The sequence below is a fragment of the Homo sapiens genome, chromosome 15, assembly GCF_000001405.40.
Source record: "Homo sapiens chromosome 15, GRCh38.p14 Primary Assembly".
NCBI classification, from domain to species: Eukaryota; Metazoa; Chordata; class Mammalia; order Primates; family Hominidae; genus Homo; species Homo sapiens.
In genome coordinates this window covers 24,863,715-24,882,929 of record NC_000015.10, presented here as the reverse complement: position 1 = coordinate 24,882,929, position 19,215 = coordinate 24,863,715, and the positions used below count along the sequence as shown (strand labels likewise).

The window sequence follows — 19,215 nt, the reverse complement described above, 5'->3', positions numbered from 1 at the left end:
TTTGAGCAAATTTAAGTGCTCAAGGCTGGGCCAATCAATGATATTCAATAGATTAGATATATTAAATGCATTTCAACTCACTATATATATATATATTTTTTTTTTTGAGATGGAGTCTCGCTCTGTCGCCCAAGCTGGAGTGCAGTGGTATGATCTCGGCTCACTGCAACATCTGCCTCCTGGGTTCAAGCGATTCTTCTCCTCAGCCTCCTGAGTAGCTGGGATTACAGATGTGCACCACCACGCCCAGCTAATTTTTGTATTTTTAGTAGAGACAGGATTTAACCATGTTGGTCAGGCTGGTCTCGAACTCCTGACCTCATGATCCACCTGCCTCAGCCTCCCAAAGTGCTGGAATTACAGGCGTAAGCCACCGTGCCTGGCCAACTTAAGATACTTTCAATTTATGATGGGTTTATTGGGGACATAACCCCATTGTAAGTCGAGGAGCATCTGTGCTATGAAAGTGGAAGAAATCACACACTCTTAGTCTCTGTGATAGTATTCATTGTCAAAATTTTTGAAACTCATTAAATAAAAATCATGCTTGCTAAAATATTGCAAGTAGGATGACCACATAAACTTTAGGTAGTTTTTTTTCTTCCCTTTTAGCCAAATTTTATGTAAGATGTTTACCTTCAAAAATAAATTTTAATTAAAATCTGAATCTAGAGTAACTGAATTTTTTTTTTAAAGGCTTTGTAGCAAAAATGAAAGTTAGAGATTACAAGCCTGGAAAAAACAAACAAATGAACCGACTTTTGTATTTAATATTTAATCATTCGCACACAGAAGAACATAAAAATTCAAAATCAATTAGCAGGACACCTACAGCTTGGAGAAATGATACACTAAGGATATGAAGAGGCAGCTAGAAAGTGGTTAGGGAGAGGCCTTCATAGTCTACCTCTGAGAGCATCGGGGAAGGTGGAAGTGGATGAGGAGAAGGCTGTCAGTTGAAAACCCATGGCCACTTCAGATAGGAAGGATATCTTGTTCCGCCTCTAGCGCTCTTTTGCCTGCCCAGGATCTGATCCTAAAGCCAGGCTTTGTTCTGGTACCTTTCAGATAGAAGACTTGACGATTATACATACACATTCCTAAAACTGATACACCAAATAAAGCTGAGGAATAACTGATAAACCCAGAACTCATGAATATTGCATGAAATGACTTCAAAATCTAGATGCACTTTATGTAATTGTTAATATTTCCACGGTTCTTCGATTTTTAAATGCTCAGGCCTATGCTGGAACACGATTTTTTTTTAGTTTTTGTTTCACTCTGCTAGGGTGCCTTACTGTGACTTTCTCTCTCTCTCTCTCTCTCTCTCTCTCTCTCTCTCCCTCCCTCCCTCCCTCCCTCCCTCCCTCCCTCTCTCTCTCTCTCTCTCTCTCTCTCTCGGAGTTTCGCTCTTGTTGCCCAGGCTGGAGTGCAATGGCACAATCTCAGCACATTGCAACCTCTGCCTCCCAGGTTCAAGCAATTCTCCTGCCTCAGCCTCCCAAGTAGCTGGGATTACAGGTGTCCACCCCCATGCCCAGCTCATTGTTTTTTTTTTGTATTTTTAGTAGAGACAAGGTTTCACCATGTTGGCCAGGCTGGTCTCGAACTCCTGACCTCAGGTGATCCACCTGCCTTGGCGTCCCAAAGTGCTGAGATTACAGGCATGAGCCACCACATCCAGCCCTTACTGTGACTTTTTAAACCACACTCTTGATAGCAATGAAAATCACCTCCATATGCTTGAATTCCCTCTTGACTGCATTACCTGGGGCAGCAGTACCTTTCTATGCTTTGAACACCTGCCTATCTTCCATGCACAGCAGAGGACTTGCCCTGTGGAGGCTCAATTTTTTTTTAGTTCATAAAAGTGAAATGTAAAGCCTGCATGGACCGTCATTATTCAAATGTCACACAGGTAAAGCGAATATAATTTTGTTTTTTGTAGATTAAAATTTGTAGAGGTTTATGCCTGTAATCACAGCACTGCGGGAGGCCAAGGCGGGAGGATCACTTGAGCCCAGAAGTTCGAGACCAGCCTGGGCAATGTAGTAAGACCCGGTAGTGAGGCACAAGAATTGCTTGAACGCTGATGACAGAGGTTGCAGTGAGCCAAGATCATGCCATTCCACTCCAGCCTGGACAACAGAGCAAGACTCTGTCTCAAAAAAAAAGGCGTAAGTGTTAAAATGAAGAACTTGGGTTGAATGTCATATTTTATGAGTATAAATATGAATTTATGAGCACATATTAATTTTTTTATTTTGGCTTCAATTAAAAAATTCATCAGGCTCCCATTAGGGTTCCATTTTCAGGAAAGAAAAAGTATTTTCTGCCCTGTCTCTCCTACTGAATATAGCTATAAAACTTGGATAAAATGTATGGAACAGCTGTTTGAGGACTAAGTAGTAACAGAAATGAAGGAATAACACTGGACTGTGAAGTACTACTAAATTGGTGATGAATTTTAATTTTTACCACTCACTTATCCCCAGGCCTGAATTTAAGACAGGCAGAAACCCAGAAGTGAGGCTGTGGTGCAGACTGCGGGCTCCAGGAAAAGTTCGAGGATTGAAAACGGAACTCAAGAGTGAAGAATCCCCCTTTCCTCCCATCCCTCCACCACCACCCCCCTCTTTTAGAGGCAAGGTCTCACTCTGTCGCCCTTTTCTCCAATCTCTTCTACTCCACCTCTCAGACCATCATGTTGTCATGACAGTGGCTGCTCAGGGAGTTCACAAGAACAAAAACGAAAAGTGGGAAAACCTTTCTCTGCCAGGAGTCGTCATAGGTCCAAGACAGTGGGTCCAACTTCACCATTTTCCTTTTTTTCTCTTTCCTCTGACCGCCTACCCCAGAAGTAGAAAAATATTGGCCAGAGGAGACATAAGGAAACGAAAATTACTGTGAAGTTATGGAAGGAAAGATGCTTGGGAAATGGACCTCTTGGAGTTGCTGATTAACTCAACAGGTTCACCCACTCCTCTCCAACAGCCCAAGTGTGAATCTCATCCAAATTAGCATACCAAAGACTGAATTGCCCCAACACCAGACAGAACAGTGGGTGATAGGAAGGCTAGAGAGTATATAATTTTGGTTTTATGGGTCATTCTGTCTCTTGCAACTACTGCCATTGTAGCATTAAGGCAGCTATCGGCAATACAAAAATGAACAGCATAGCTGTGTTCCAATAAATATTTATTTAAAAAAGAAAGCAAACATGCTGGGCAGAATTTGACCCTCAGGCCATATGCAAACAAAAAAATATGTGATGTTGTTCATTCCAGCACAAGGGTGACAGACATGGTCTCTGCAGAAAGAAGACTGGTTTTGTATTCACACTTCGCCACTAATTGCTGCTTTGAAAAGGCAAATGCATTTTACATTTATTTTCTCATCTAAACAATGTTTCATTTCATAGAAAACATCACACATATATTTTCTGAGCTTCAATTAAATGTATAATTTCTTTCTTTCTTTTTTTTTTGTAGAGACAGAATCGCACTCTGTCCTCCAGGCTAGAGTGCAGTGGCGGGATCTCGGCTCACTGCAACCACCGCCTCCCAGGTTCAAGCAATTCTCCTGCCTCAGCCTCCCGAGTAGCTAGGACTACAGGCGAACACCACCACCCCCGGGTAATTTCTTTTGTATTTTAGTAGAGACGAGGTTTCACCGTGTTGCCCAGGCTGGTCTCGAACCCCCGAGCTCAGGCAATCTGCCTGCCTCGGCCGCCCAAAGTGCTAGGATTACAGGCGTGAGCCACCGCACCCGGCCTAAATGCATAATTTCAAAAGAATACGTGGCGGAAAATAATCACTTAAAAAGTACTAGCTGAAAGTAGTATTGTCCTTTTGCATTCCGGAGGACTATATTTAAAAATACTTTTTTAAATATATTTTAAAAATATATTTTTGAAAATTCAACCTTGTATAATTTTTCTTAAATTACAAATATTCTATAAGGAGATACTAAAACTCTGGGTTTCGAAAGTGTGACCCTGAAGCCTCTACAAGTCCTCTCATATTAAAGGTATATTAGTGGAAAAGATAAACAATAAAGAATATATAAAGAATCTTAAGGACAATACAGAAATGATTAAAGTAGTATCTCATTTCTTAAAAATGACAAGTTCAGTATTTTTGAAAAGGATTTCGTTTTTTTCAAAGAACGCAAAAAAGATAAAATTGTTAATATTGAGAGGGAAGGATATACAATTACTGGTCAATGTTTATGTAACAAGAGGAGGGGCTGTTACAGAAATACAATACAATTTTTCATGGGAAAACAACAAGCAAACTCAAGGCTAATGCACACATAAAGTGCAAGACCAGAACAATTATACGAAGCCTAGAAAGCAAATTTTTACGAGTAAAACGCAGGTTAACGCTTGCGAAGAAAGGGAGACTCCCGGCGGGCGCCATAAGCGGAACAGACCCTCGGGGCGCACGGAAACGGAAACCGGAAGGAGAAAAGGCGCCCCAATTCCGCCTGCGCTGTGCAGGCGCGCCGAAGATCGGCCCCTGCGGGCTGCCGTTCTCCCCAACTGTCAGGTGACCTTCCCGTAGCGCACTGCGGGTTTGTCGGCCGCTCAGAACGGTGGCACATTTCTTGCGGGCTGCGTGGCAGCGGTGGTTGCGGTAATAGCCATGTGGGTAGCAGTGAGACCCGTGGGGCTTCAGGAGCCCTAGACCCGCCACGGAAACTTGAGCGAATACGCCAGAGCTCTCTATCAGATTGGAAAGCGTTTTAAAGAATAACTTAACAAGGCTTTAACCTAAGAAGTCCCGTTCATTTTGTGAACTGTAGTGGTACTGAATATATGTATGGAAACACACACTCATTTACTCAAGGATTTAATGTGTCACAGTTAAGAGTCAACTAGTTTTACAATCAAATTTTATGTGTTTGTCCATGGTAACACAATCGTGTACATGCATGTTTGTAAGTGAAAGAATCAGCCACTAGCACTCACATCGTTCTTTAACCCGTGCACTACTTAAGAGCAGGTGACTGGAAAAGTGAGCATGGGCCAGGCTTCCCTGTATCGTTGCTGGACATTATTAGATTGCATTTTTTTTCTTTTTTAGACGGAGTTTCGCTCTGTCGCCAGGCAGTGGCCCGATCTTGGCTTACCACAACATCCTCCTCCCGGGTTCAAGCGATTCTCCTGCCCCAACCTCCCGAGTAGCTGGGATTACAGGCGCGCGCCACTGCGCCCGGCTAGTGTGTTTGTGTGTGTGTGTGTGTGTGTGTGTGTGTGTGTGTTTTGTAGAGATGTTTCACCATATTGGCCAGGCTGGTCTTGAACTCCTGACCTCAGGTGATCCGCCGGCCTTGGCCTCCCAAAGTGCTGGGATTACAGGCGTCAGCCACCGCGCCCGGCCTAGGTTGCATTTTTTAATTCCACAGCATCTATGCATTATGTTTAAGTTTTAAAACAAATTGTAAAAATCCTGCTCAAATCAGCAGTCATTCTTGGTTCCTGGACCCCACCTTTTTTTCTGTACTTATTTAGGTTGCCATTGGTTCCTGTTTCTGTTGATGCTAGATGGCACTGTCAGCACATGGTTCTTCATTCCCTAAAGCTAGTGTAGCACGTGCTTCTGAAATACAAATAAGGTGACTTTAAGGCATGAAAGCAACCTGGACTTGGAGCTGAAATGTCCTTTTCCAGGTGGAGAATTCATTATTGAACTAGCATCTTTCGTAGGGAGGTCTAACTTGAAGAGTAGATTTTATCTGAAAATACGAAAATTTTCTGTGGCCATTTTTCCTGGACCTCAGGCTGTCTCACATTTTCCCCACCCATACTTTTCCTTTGTCTGTACAGAATCTGAACCTAAACCCCATATATTTTTTTCTTCAAATGTATGAGACCCAAATTCTCATTTTACAATTTCAACAGCTGTGTTCCTAAGTGAGCACACCCTAGCTAATGTCTGGAACTACAGAAAATTATAAAATACCAACACATTGACACGGCATTAAATATCTTAAAAATCTAGCCCTGGTATATATTTCTAGCTTCCTTCAAGTGTACTGAAATTGCTGCTCTCCTTGCGATGTCTCAATTTTTTTTGCATTCTATACATTCCCATTCTCTACCTCAATACTAATCATCCTTTGTTATTTATTAGTTCTAATTTACATGGTTTTCAGCTGCTTATTCTTCATCTATTCAATCACAAACTGCCTCTTCGAGGAAACCTTCAATTACCACTTAAATTTGGGTTGTATGCTCATGCATTTTGTGGATTTCAACAGAGTAATGCACATTTCCTACTACAGCATCTTTTTTTTTTTTTTTTTTGAGATGGAGTCTCGCTCTGTGGCCCAGGCTGGAGCGCAGTGGAGCAATCTCAGCTCACTGCAACCTCTGCCTCCTGGGCTCAAGCGATTCTCCTGCCTCGGCCTCCTGAGTAGCTTGGATTACAGGCGCACGCCACCACACTCAGCTAATTTTTGTATTTTTAGCAGAGAAGACGTTTCACCATGTTGGCCAGGCTGGTCTCAAACTCCTGACCTCAGGTGATCCACCATCTCAGCTTCCCAAAGTGTTGAGATTAAAGGCATGAGCCACAGCTCCTGGACCTACAGTATCTTTAATCTGATTTTTATTGCCTATTTGTTGAACGTCTGCTTGACTTGTGCTTTAAATAAAGGAGAAATGTATTTTGGGTTGTAGATGATACTTATGTGGCCAAAGGAAAAAAAATGTACACAAGTGATAAAGACATTAGTCTGCAAGACAAATTAAAAACAAATATTAAAAGGCAAGATTTGAACCTGCATAAGTGTTAGCAAGTAGAAAGAGTGTTGAACACTCCTTATTTTTAAAATTTTTATTTTTTTTGTTTTTTTTCTTTTTTTTTTGAGACAAAGTATCACTCTGCTGCCCAAGCTGGAGTGCAGTGGCACAGTCTCGGCTCACTGCAACCTCCACTTGCCAGGTTCAAGCGATTCTCCTGCCTCAGCCTCCCGAGTAGCTAGGACTGCAGGCATGTGCCACCATGTCTGGCTAGTTTTTGTATTTTTGGTAGAGATGGGGTTTCACTATGTTGGCCAGGCTGGTCTCGAACACCTGACCTCAGGTGATCTGCCCGCCTCAGCCTCCCAAAGTGCTGGGATTACAGGCATGAACTACCGCACCCGGCCTAAAATTTTTATTTCTGTAGAGACAGTGTTTTGCTATGTTGCCTAGGCCTTTCTCAAACTCCTGGGCTCAAGCAGTCCTCACACCACAGCCACTTAAATTGCTGGGATTACAGGTGTGAGCTACCATGCCCAGTGGAAAACTCTTATACATACATATTAAAGTTCAATGGGGGGAAAATTGATTTTTCTATCAATGTTCTAGGAAATTGAATATTCTTCTGTTGCGGTGGGGGAGGGAATAAAAATCTCACCTTTGACCTCACATTACATACAAAATGATCACCAGATGGTTCATTGACCTGAACTTAAAAACGATTTAATGTAGCATTTAGATTGAAATTGAGAAAAATAATTTCATGACTATTGTGTAAAGCACAATTTCTGAAACTAGACTTAGGATGTATTTATCATAGAAAAGATATTCTAACATAGTTGATGTAAACAAAGATTCTGGAGACAGACAAAGTCAAGCTCAGGTTTTTCTACTCTTTTCCTGTAAGGCTTTAGCTCAGATTCACAACTGGAACTTGGGAGTGGTAATATTGCCTACCTCTTGAAATGTTGTGAGAATTGAATGAACTAATAATACTTAAAACCTGTAGACTAATAGCACATCTATACTAAACATGAAGTCAGCATTTTCTCATACAGTGTTTTCTAAGGAATTGAAATAGTTATTATTTGAGTCAATTGTAAAATGCATCATTATTTTATGTCACAATATAGGAATAAATTCGTAGACTATAGGACAAATACATCTTATCACTTACAATTTTATATTATTACTGAAAAAAACTTTCAACTACTATAAATGCAGGTATTAGTCTTATATCACTTCTATGATGACAAAGATGGAAAATATAAGCAGAATACACTAACAACAGCATTCCTAAAATTCCTGTCACTCAGATCAAACTCTTCTGAATCACCTTCAACACACCCTGTCCATGATTTACCCCACATTGTCATCATCTTTGCTAATCAGGAACTTTGGTGACATCACATTTCTTGACAGAGTCCTACTCTCCTATTTATGAGATTATTCAACCTACTGACAGCATCTCTGTAAGTTTTGATGGTGATCATATCACCAGAAGACGTCAATCAAAGGTTTTCAGATCAAGTTCATGCATGTGCAGACAAGGACAGCCATATTATGACTAGATTCTGGCAAACTTTGTTTTTACAATGTCAATTTTAAGATGCATCTGTACTTGAACGTTGTTAAAAGGTGCACTCTAACATCAGCTGATTACACTATTCTTTCATTTACTGCCCACTTATCAGTATAAACCCACGGTGGATAGACAGTTTTGCATCTACCACCTTTACTCTAAAGCCTGAGAACCAAAGCTCATCAGCCCTCATTTTCCACTCTGACATTGGTCACTCCTACTCCAGATTGACATATGGCTCGTTTTTGGTCTGCCACTCTGCCTTTTTTTTTTTTTTTTTTTTTTTTGAGACAGAGTCTCACTCTGTCACCCAGGCTGGAGTGCAGTGGTGCGATCTTGGCTCACTGCAAGCTCCACCTCCCGGGTTCATGCCATTCTCCTGCCTCAGCCTCCCAAGTAGCTGGGACTACAGGCGCCTGCCACCACGCCCGGCTAATTTTTTGTATTTTTAGTAGAGACGAGGTTTCACTGTGTTAGCCAGGATAATCTCGATTTCCTGACCTCGTGATCTGCCAGCCTTGGCCTCCCAAAGTGGATTACAGGCGTGAGCCACCGCAGCGGGCAGCCTTTTTTTTTTTTTTCTGAAGATGAATATTTAAGTGAGTTTGTTTTTTTCTCATGGAGTGAATGAAGTATGCTGTGGGAGGTGCGAGGTTTCTTGAATTGCAAATGTCCAAATTACTAGTACATACATATTTGCTATTCTGATCTCAGAAGTGAGAAATGTGGTCTAGATCAGCTGCATCTCTCACTCCAGGTCATCAGATCCCAGGAACTAATTTCCTCATTGAAGGTAGGAATGAGATGTAGAGAATATACTCCGTGATTTCAGACCATAAAAAGAAGAGTTGGCCAGGCACGGTGGCTCACGTCTGTAATCCCAGCACTTTGAGAGGCCGAGGCAGGTGGATCACGAGGTCAGGAGATCGAGACCATCCTGGCTAACACGGTGAAACCCCGTCTCTACTAAAAATACAAAAAATTAGGCAGGCGTGGTGGTGGGCACTTGTGGTCCCAGCTGCTTGGGAGGCTGAGGCAGGAGAATGGTGTGAACCGGGGAGGCGGAGCTTGCAGTGAGCCAAGATTGCACCACTGCACTCTAGCCTGGGCAACAGAGCGAGACTTTGTCTCAAAAAAAAAGAGAGACAAAATATTTGCAGGAGAATTGCTTGAACCCAGGAGGCAGAGGTTGCAGTGAGTCGGGATCGTGCCATTGCACTCCAGCCTGGGTGACTGAGCAATACTCCGTTTCAAAAAAAAAAAAAAGAAACAAAAACAAAAGAAGAGTCTTGATTTTGTGGTTGTCCCTGGGACTGTGGTATGTAGTCCCATGGCTTTGTAGACTAGGTATGGTTCCTGAACACACCCTCTTGCTGTCCAGCAGAGTGATGTCGTTGTGCTATGGGAATCCCTGTTGCTTTTTTTTTGCGGGCAAGGCGGGAGTAATTGGTAAGCTGATTCTAAAATTCATATGGAAATTCATGAGATCTAAAAGAACCACACTGGTAATGAGAAGCAGAACAAAGTTGGATTATGGGATTTCTAAACAATATAAAGTGATAGTAATGAGGACATTGTGGTACTGGCATAAGGACAGTGATATAGGTCAATGGAATATAAGTGACTGTCCAAAGATTAACCCTGACATTTATGGTCTATGGATTGCAAAAGTTGCCAAGGCAATTCAATGAGGAAAACTATTTTTTTTTTTTTTTTTTTTTTTTTGAGACGGAGTCTCGCTCTGTCACCCAGGCTGGAGTGCAGTGTGATCCGCCCGCCTCAGCCTCACAAAGTGCTGGGATTACAGGCGTAAGCCACCGCACCCAGCTTTTTTTTTTTTTTTTTTTTTCGAGACGGAGTTTCACTCTTATTGCCCAGGCTGGAGTGTAATGGTGGGATCTCAGCTCACCACAACCTCTGCTTCCCAGGTTCAAGCGATTCTGCTGTCTCAGCCTGCCAAGTAGGTGGGATTACAGGCATGTTTCATCACACTCAGCTAATTTTTTTATTGTTAGTAGAGACGGGGTTTCTCCATGTTGGTCAGGCTGGTCTCGAACTCCCAACCTCAGGTGATCCGCCCGCCTTGGCCTCCCACAGTGCTGGGATTACAGGCGTGAGCCACTGCGCCCAGCCTAAACTATATTTTCCAAAAAAAAATGTATTTTTGACTGGGTATGGTAGGTGGGTGGATCATCTGAGGTCAGGAGTTTGAGACCAGCCTGGCCAAAATGGTGAAACCCTGTCTCTACTAAAAATACAAAATTAGCCTAGTGTGGTGGCAGGCACCTGTAATCCTAGCCTCTTGGGAGGCTGAGGCAGGAGAATCACTTGAACCCAGGAGGCAGAGGTTGCAGTGAGCTGAGATTGTGCCACTGCACTCCAACCTGGGCAACAAAAGTGATACTCATGTCTCAAAAAAAAAGTTATTTTAAAAATGTATCTTCATGGTCTGAAATTAATGGTTTCTAAGATATAACACAAAAAACACAAGTAACAGAAGCAAAAATAGATAAATTCATCTATTTTTTAAAATGTTTGTCATTCAACATATACTATCAAGAAGTATAAAACAACCCTAAAAAGAGGACAAAAGGCCGGGCGTGGTGGCTTACGCCTGTAATCCTAGCACTTTGGGAGGCTGAGGTGGGCGAATCATGAAGTCAGGAGATCGAGACCATCCTGGCTAACATGGTGAAACCCCGTCTCTGCTAAAAGTACAAAAAAATTAGCCAGGCGTGGTGGTGGGCGCCTGTAGTCCCAGCTGCTTGGGAGGCTGAGGCAGGAGAATGGTGTGAACCGGGGAGGCGGAGCTTGCAGTGAGCCAAGATTGCACCACTGCACTCTAGCCTGGGCAACAGAGCGAGACTTTGTCTCAAAAAAAAAAGAGACAAAATATTTGCTAGTCATATAGGTAATGAGGGTCTACTGTTCAGAATATATAAAAGATTGTCACATCTCAAAAAATAAAAGACAAATACCAACTAAAAATGGGTAAATTGTATAAATAGACATTTCTTCAAAGAATATGTATCCCCAAAGGGCACATAAAAAGATGATTGACATCATTAGTCCTTCAGCAATGCAAATCTAAATCACCGTAAGATATACTTCATAAAATTAAAGGCATATTTTTAAGTTAAGGAAGCCAGTTTGAAAAGATGACAGACTGTGCAATTCCATGTATATGACACCCTGGGAAAGGTAAAATAATAGAGATAGTAAACAGATTAATGCTAACTAGGGACTCTCCAAGGAGGACAGTGAAATAGGTGAAGTAGATGGAATTTCTTTAGGGTAATAAAAACTTCCTGCATGGTCGCTACATCATATTGTTTTTGAAACCCTGCATAACTTTATAATACAAACAGTGAACCTAAATGTACGGAAATTAAAAATATTATTTGTAAGCCAGGCATGGTGGCTCACGCCTGTAATCCTAGCACTTGGGAGACTTGGGAGACCGAGGTGGGTGGATTACCTGAGGTCAGGTATTTGAGACCAGCTTGGCCAACATAGTGAAACCCCATCTCTGCTAAAAATACCAAATAATTAGCCGGGCGTGGTGGTGCGTGCCTGTAATCTCAGCTACCTGGGAAGCTGAAGCAAGATAATTGCTGGAACCTGGGAGGCGGAGGCTGCAGTGAGCCAAGAACACACCATTGCACTCCAGGCTGGGTGACAGAGTGAGACTCTATCTCAAAAAACAAAGAAACAAACAAACAAAAAACCAAAAAAAAAAAATTATTTGTAGGTTGAGGGATCCCATAGAGGAATACAGAGAAAATAATTATTTGTAGGTTGAGGGATCCCATAGAGGAATACAGAGAAAATAAGAAAAATGAATAAGAAATGTATGATATAACCTCACTAAAGGAAGCTGGGAGGCGGGGGAAAGAACTGACCTAAGTAACTTGGGTACAAAGTGAAGATTCTGCATCTAAAGGTCCAAGAAGTTGTCTATGAGCACTGTACTTTAGTTGGTAATGTTGTTCTTCATGAGAGTGTGGATGAACAATTCTGAAGCCACTATGCATGTAGCCTCTAACTTGGTGATTAAGTTAACAAGGCCAACTCACTCACTGTTAGAGTGGGGGTTACAACCAAGTAGTGGGAATGGGGAGATTGATTCAAGTTATATTATATTCATGTAGTGCTGGAGACATTAGTAGGAATTTATGTTTAAGTTAATCAGGTTATATATGAACATATGAGGAAATATTTACACATATGTGTATATGTGTGGGTTAGTATACACAGGTACGTTTCATTGTTTTGTCAGCTGACTACTCCTCAAATCGACAGATGACCCAGTATCAGTGAATATACCTGGGTCTGTATCTTTGTTTTAAAAGCCATTTTCCAATAAAAGAAACTAGGACCCTTGAAGAAATGATGGGTACCAGGCTTGGGCACGAAATAAACACAATTGGCCTGGAGGACCCTGTAGTGCCTGAAAGTAAGAAACTATGAAACATTACAATTGAACCACCAAACAAGCAAAATCTAACCAAAATAATGTGGCTATTTCAAAATGATATGGGAGCCAACTGAGAGACCTTCCAATGGCCAACAATGGAACAATTCGAGCTATGAAATAAAGGAGTATAAGGGAGATGTGAACTGAATATATCTAATTTCATATCATATTCAATACAGTATAAATAAATGGTATGAAATCATGGTGGAGAACAGGCCAACTGTATACAGTAAAGAGTTCTCAACTCTTGTTTTAGGTCCTCAGTTCATAAGGAGGTAGAGCATAACTTTCTTGTTCTTAAGTATGTGCTATGTATGCTGACTTATTTTCAAAAAGTGAAACAGGGAAAGTGGAGAAAGAAATAATTTTACAGTAAAGAAATTTGACAAAGGCTAACTTGTCCAGGTAATCAAATTGCTATCAACAGGCATGAATCATGTTGATAGTAGACACCCGTGATATGATGTGGTTACAATGACATTTTCTCTCAGTGATCTTCCTTCCCCAAACCCAACTCCAGTATAATCATGAGAAAAATGTCAGAGAAATCCCAAATTGGGGATGTTAATGTCATCAATAACAAGGAAAGTCTGAGAAACTGTCACAGGCAGAAGGAACCTAATGAGATGGGATTTCTAAATGTGATGTGGTCTCCTGGAGGGAATCCTGGAACACAAAGTGTTCATTCGGTAGAAGAAAAATTCTAAATAAAATGTGAATCATAGAGAAGGATAATGTATACTACTGAATTATGAATTGTGACAAATATCACCCACTAATGTAAGGGATTAATAATAAGGGAAACTATATGCTAAGCATAAGGAAATGATCTGTATTATCTTGGCAACTGCTGTGTATATCTAAACTATTCTAAAATTTAACAAGTTTCTTTTTTATAAATTCCCTTCCCAGTATAATAAGCCAAACCTTGTCAATATTGTTGAAAACCCCTGAGTGCATATCCCCATTTTTTTTGAGACACGGTATCACTCTGTAGCTCAGGCTGGAGCGCTGTGGTGTGATCATGGCTCACTTTAGCCTCGACCTCCCGGGCTCAAGACATCCTGCTGCCTCAGCCTCCCTAGTAGCTTGGACCACAGGTGTGCACCACCATGCCTGGCTAATTTTAAATTTTTGTTGTTGTGGTTAGAGATAGGGTCTGGCTATGTTGCCTAGGCTAGTCTGGAACTCCTGGCCTCAAGTGATCCTCCCACCTCGTCCTCCCAAAGTGCTGGGATTACCGGTGTGAGCTATTGCACCTGGTCTCTCCTTTTGTATTTCTAAGTAATACATTGTTCAGTTTTTCTTAACACCCACATACATGTGTCTAAATTAATGCATATCTCTATTGTAATAATGAGACCCATGAGACTAATCCATTTTGTAGGAAATTCCACAAAACACCTGACTGGTACTTTTCAAAAGAATTCAGGTTATACAAAATAATTGAACACTGAGAAACTGTTGCAGGTTGGAGAAGATCTGACACAGCAAGCAGACCCTAGATTGGCACCCAGTGATTCCCACCTGCTGGTGAACACAACCTTGCATTCTAATCCTCTCCCTGTAAGTGTGGGCAGCAACCTTGACTTATTTTGAAACAAGAGAATAGAGCACAGCTGAAGGTACATCACATGGGTAATTATGCTATGTAAAATCATTACTTCTGTCTTGCTAGCAAACTCTCCCCTTGTAGCTTTGATGGAGCATTCTGCCATGTGGGAGAAGCCAACATGGGAAGGAGCTGAATGCAGCCTCTGGACAACAGCCAGCCAAGGAATGGAGGATCTTAATCCAATAGCCAGTCCCTAAATTTACAGTTAATTCAAACTCCCTTTCAAATAACACTCTATCAGTTCACAAGTAGTGTGAGTTGCCTATAATAAGGAAACAATAGTCATTTGTACTTTGGTAATTTGTACTATTGCTGTCATTCATTGCATTTATATATGAGCATTCATGCATATGTATATGTGTGTGTGTATATATATATATATACACACACACACCCATATACATGCACACACACTCAAACTATAAACATAAGAATACCTCATCAAATAAATGGCTACAATTTTTGTTTTTAACAAACTGTTATCTGTTATATCAACTAAAATATGAAAAAGTTTTTATTTCATATGGCAACTACTAAAATATTTAAAAATAAAAAGAAAATATAATGATATGCTAAGAAGAGAAAATTGGATCATATGAAATTCTCAATTAAAACCATAAAGGGAAGCAAACAAATGGAAGACAGGAGGAGGAACAAAGAACAAGGGCAGCAAATGAAAAGCAGAAATAAACATGGTAGATAGCAATCTGCTATTATCAATAATCACATTGACTTTCAATGGCTCAAAACCACCAATGAAAAGACACAGACTGTTGGAGTGGATCAAAAAACAAGACTTAACCATATGTTCTCTAGAGAAAACTTATTTAAGGCCGGGCGCAGTGGCTCACGCCTGTAATCCCAGCACTTTGGGAGGCCGAGGCGGGTGGATCATGAGGTCAGGAGATCGGGACCATCCTGGCTAACATGGTGAAACCCTGTCTCTACTAAAAATACAAAAAATTAGCTGAGCGTGGTGGCGGGCGCCTGTAGTCCCAGCTACTCGGGAGGCTGAGGCAGGAGAATGGCGTGAACCAGGGAGGCGGAGCTTGCAGTGAGCCGAGATCACACCACTGCACTCCAGCCTGGGCGACAGAGTGAGACTCCGTCCCCCCCAAAAAAAAAAAACTTATTTAAATATAAAGACAGATACAGGGAAATGTAAATTAAAATCAAAATGAGATATTATACCTGTTACAAGGCTATTATTAAAAAGAGTAAAGATAACAGGTGTTGTAAAGGAAACCCCTGCACACTGTTGATGAGAATGTTAATCGGTACAGCCATTATCGAAAAAAGTATAGAGGCCCCTCAAAAAATTAAAAATAGAACTACCATAAGATCTAGCAATCCCAACGCTGGCTATATATCCAAAGAAAATGAAATCAGTATGTTGAAGAGATACCTACACTCATGTATATTTTAGCAGTGTTCAAACCACTATGAGGCAGAAATTGTTAAAACAGGAAAAATAGATGAATCCACTATTATAGTTGGTGACTTCAACACTCCTCAATGAGAAGTGTTTAACATTGTTCACAATAGCAAACATACGGAATCAACCTATGTGTCCGTTGACAGATAAAGAAAATTATATATATAATCCCCAATGGAATACTACTGAGGCATATAAAAAGGAAATCCTGTCATTTGCGACAACATGGTTGAACCTGGAGTACATTATGTTAACTGAAATGTTAAGCATACAAAGATAAATACCTCAAGATCTTACTCATGTGAAATCTAAAAAATGTGATTTCATACAAGTGGGGATGTAGAACGGTAGTTACCAGAGCCTGGGGTTGAGGGTGGGGTTGGGCAGAAGTTTTGTGGATGGATACAAAATTTCAGTCAGAGAGGAGGAATAATTTCAAGAGATCTATTGTACCATATGGTTTCTCTAGTTAAAAACATAAGTCTTATTTTTAAAACGCTAAAGATTAGCTGGGCATGGTGGTGTGCACCTGTAGTCCCAGCTACTCAGGAAGCTGAGGCAGGAGGATTGCTTGAGCTCAGGAGGTCTACACTGCAGTGAGCTGTGATCAAACCACTGCACTCCAGCCTAGGTGCAGAGCGAGAGCCTGTGTCTATTTAAAAAAATGCTTAAAAAGTGGATAGAAAGTGTTCTCTCCACAAAAATGATAACTATGTGAGGTAATACACATGTTAATTAGCTGGATTTAGCCATTCCACAATGCACATTATTATTCAAACCTCATGTTATACATAGTACATACATCTCATTTTATCTGTTATTTAATAAAAATGGAGACATATTAACTGAAAGTAAATAGATGGAACAAAATATAGCAAGCAAATAGAAAAAGCAGGAGTAGCTATATTAATTTCAGAAAAAGCTGACTATACAGTCAGAAAAATTATCAGGGAAATAGAAAGGCATTACATAATAATAGTGGGGTCAATTTTCCAAGAAGATATAATAATTCTAACATGTAGCAACAGAACATAAAACTACGAGGCAGAAACCGTTAAAACAGGAAAAATAGATGAATCCACTATTACGGTCGGTGACTTCAACACTCCTCTATGAGAATTAAAAATAAAATCCTAAGCCCCCCAACTGACTGAACAGACAGGACCGCAGGGAAACCATACAAACTGAGTTTCCAGTCATGATGGGACAGGAAGTGGGACATGCCTCGTTATCATCTGTCTCTTTTGCAGTTTAGACACAACAACTGACCAGCATTCATATTAAAATAGAGATCATAAGAATGAAGGAATGAACTCTTCTTGGTGGCAATAAGATATCAAATTATAAATAAGACCTAAGGCCATGACAGGCAAGGGTTAAGTCACTCACCCCTATAGTTGAAGAATAAACTATGTTCTAACTGACAGGAGGTTTATCTTTTTCTCTAGCAGCTAAGCAAGCACTGACTTCCACATAAACAATCTTAAAACAATTTGCAGCTCATCCACCGCCAGACGCTAACTCCAGCCTCTGTTCCAACAGCCATCGCTACAGCCTTGATTGCACAAGAGACTGATTTCAGTAACTTTCTCCTGATAAGAGCCCACCAAACATGGACTGGGTCTGACTGGTTTCTAGAGATTGTGTACTTGTCTGCCTTTGTGTCCTGAAAGGGGCTTTTGTGTGTAGGGCCTAACTGTAATACATTTAAATGTTAAGTCTCAGCTGGGCGTGGTGGCTCACACCTGTAATCATAGCACTTTGGGAGGCCAAGGCGGGTGGATTACCTGAGGTCAGGAGTTCAAGACCAGCCTGGCCAACATGGTGAAACCCTGTCTCTACTAAAAATACAAAAATTAGCTGGACATGGTGGCAGGTGCCCGTAATCCCAGTTATTTGGGAGGCTGAGGCAGGTGAATCGCTTGAACCTGGGAGGCAGAGGTTGCAGTGAGCCACGATGGTACCATGGCACTCCAGCCTGGGGGACAGAGTAAGACTCTGTCTCAAAAAAAAAAAAAAAAAAGCTCAGTCTCCACACCAAGGTGAACATGGGTCATAGGTTACGTGCATGTTTGTTCAGTATACATGCTGTAGGGCTACCTTCAAGAATATTTATAGCTCTTTTTCTTTCCAAATTTATAGATCTCATGATTTTTATGTTAACAAATATATACCCTAAAACCCCAATAAAATTAAGATAGAAATCAATAAAAGGCACATAACTGGTAAACTTCAAAATACATGGAGATTAACTAACACACTTTTAAATAACACATGATGCAAGAAATCTCAAGAGAAAATTAAACAACATTTTGAACTAAGTTTAAATTAAAATGCATCTTATCAAAATTTGTAGAATGCAGTGAGGGAGCATAGGGGGGAAATGTATCTATTAAAAACAAAGCAAACAAACAAAAAAAAACATTGGCCAGGCACAGTGGCTCACACCTGTAATCCCAGAACTTTGGGAGGCTGAGGTGGGCAGATTACCTGAGGTCAGGAGTTGGAGACCAGCCTGACCAACATGGCGAAACCCCGTTTCTACTAAAAATACAAAAATTAGCTGGGCGTGGTGGCGGGCGCCTGTAATCCCAGCTACTAGGGAGGCTAAGGCAGGAGAATCGCTTGAACCCGGGAGGCAGAGGTTGCAGCGAGCCGAGATTGCGCCATTGTATTCTAGCCTGTGTGACAAAAGCAAAATTCCACCAAAAAAAAAAAAAAAAAAAAAAAGAAAAGAAGAGGGGCCGGGAGCGGCGGTTCTTGCCTGTAATCCTAGCACTTTGGGAGGCCGAGGCGGGCGGATCACAAGGTCAGGAGATCGAGACCATCCTGGCTAACATGGTGAAACCCCGTCTCTACTAAAAATACAAAAAAAATTAGCCGGGCGTTGTGGTGGGCGCCTGTAGTCCCAGCTACTTGGGAGGCTGAGGCAGGAGAATAGTGTGAACCCGGGAGGCGGAGCTTGCAGTAAGCAGAGTTCACGCCATGGCACTCCAGCCTGGGCGACAGAGAGAGACTCCCTCTCCAAAAAAAAAAATAATAATAAAATAAAAATAAATAAATAAATAAAATTTAAAAAAGAAAAAACATCTAAAAATCGATAATCTAAATTTCCTCCATAGGAAACTTAAAAGTAGAGCAAACGAAATCCAAAGTAAGCAGGAGAAAAGAGAGAGTACTGTAAATAAAGTGAAAGCTAAGTAAAAGATAAAGTAACTGGAATTTTCAAATGAGTATTGAGAGTTTAATAGTTTCCAGAACGCAGATGTGTCCACAGTTAACTAGGAAAACAGAACACCCTAAACTGAACTCCTGCTTATGAACATGCAGGGGTGGCTCCCCCTGAAATGAGGAG

At 41.1% G+C, this 19,215-nt stretch overlaps 1 protein-coding gene and 1 long non-coding RNA gene across 86 annotated transcripts in view; both read right to left on the bottom strand.

The window, feature by feature from the left end:
- Positions 1–19,215, bottom strand: part of SNHG14 (small nucleolar RNA host gene 14) — a 595,855-nt gene that overhangs the window by 536,533 nt on the left and 40,107 nt on the right. The window lies entirely within an intron of this gene.
- Positions 1–19,215, bottom strand: part of SNRPN (small nuclear ribonucleoprotein polypeptide N) — a 155,087-nt gene that overhangs the window by 95,794 nt on the left and 40,078 nt on the right. The window lies entirely within an intron of this gene.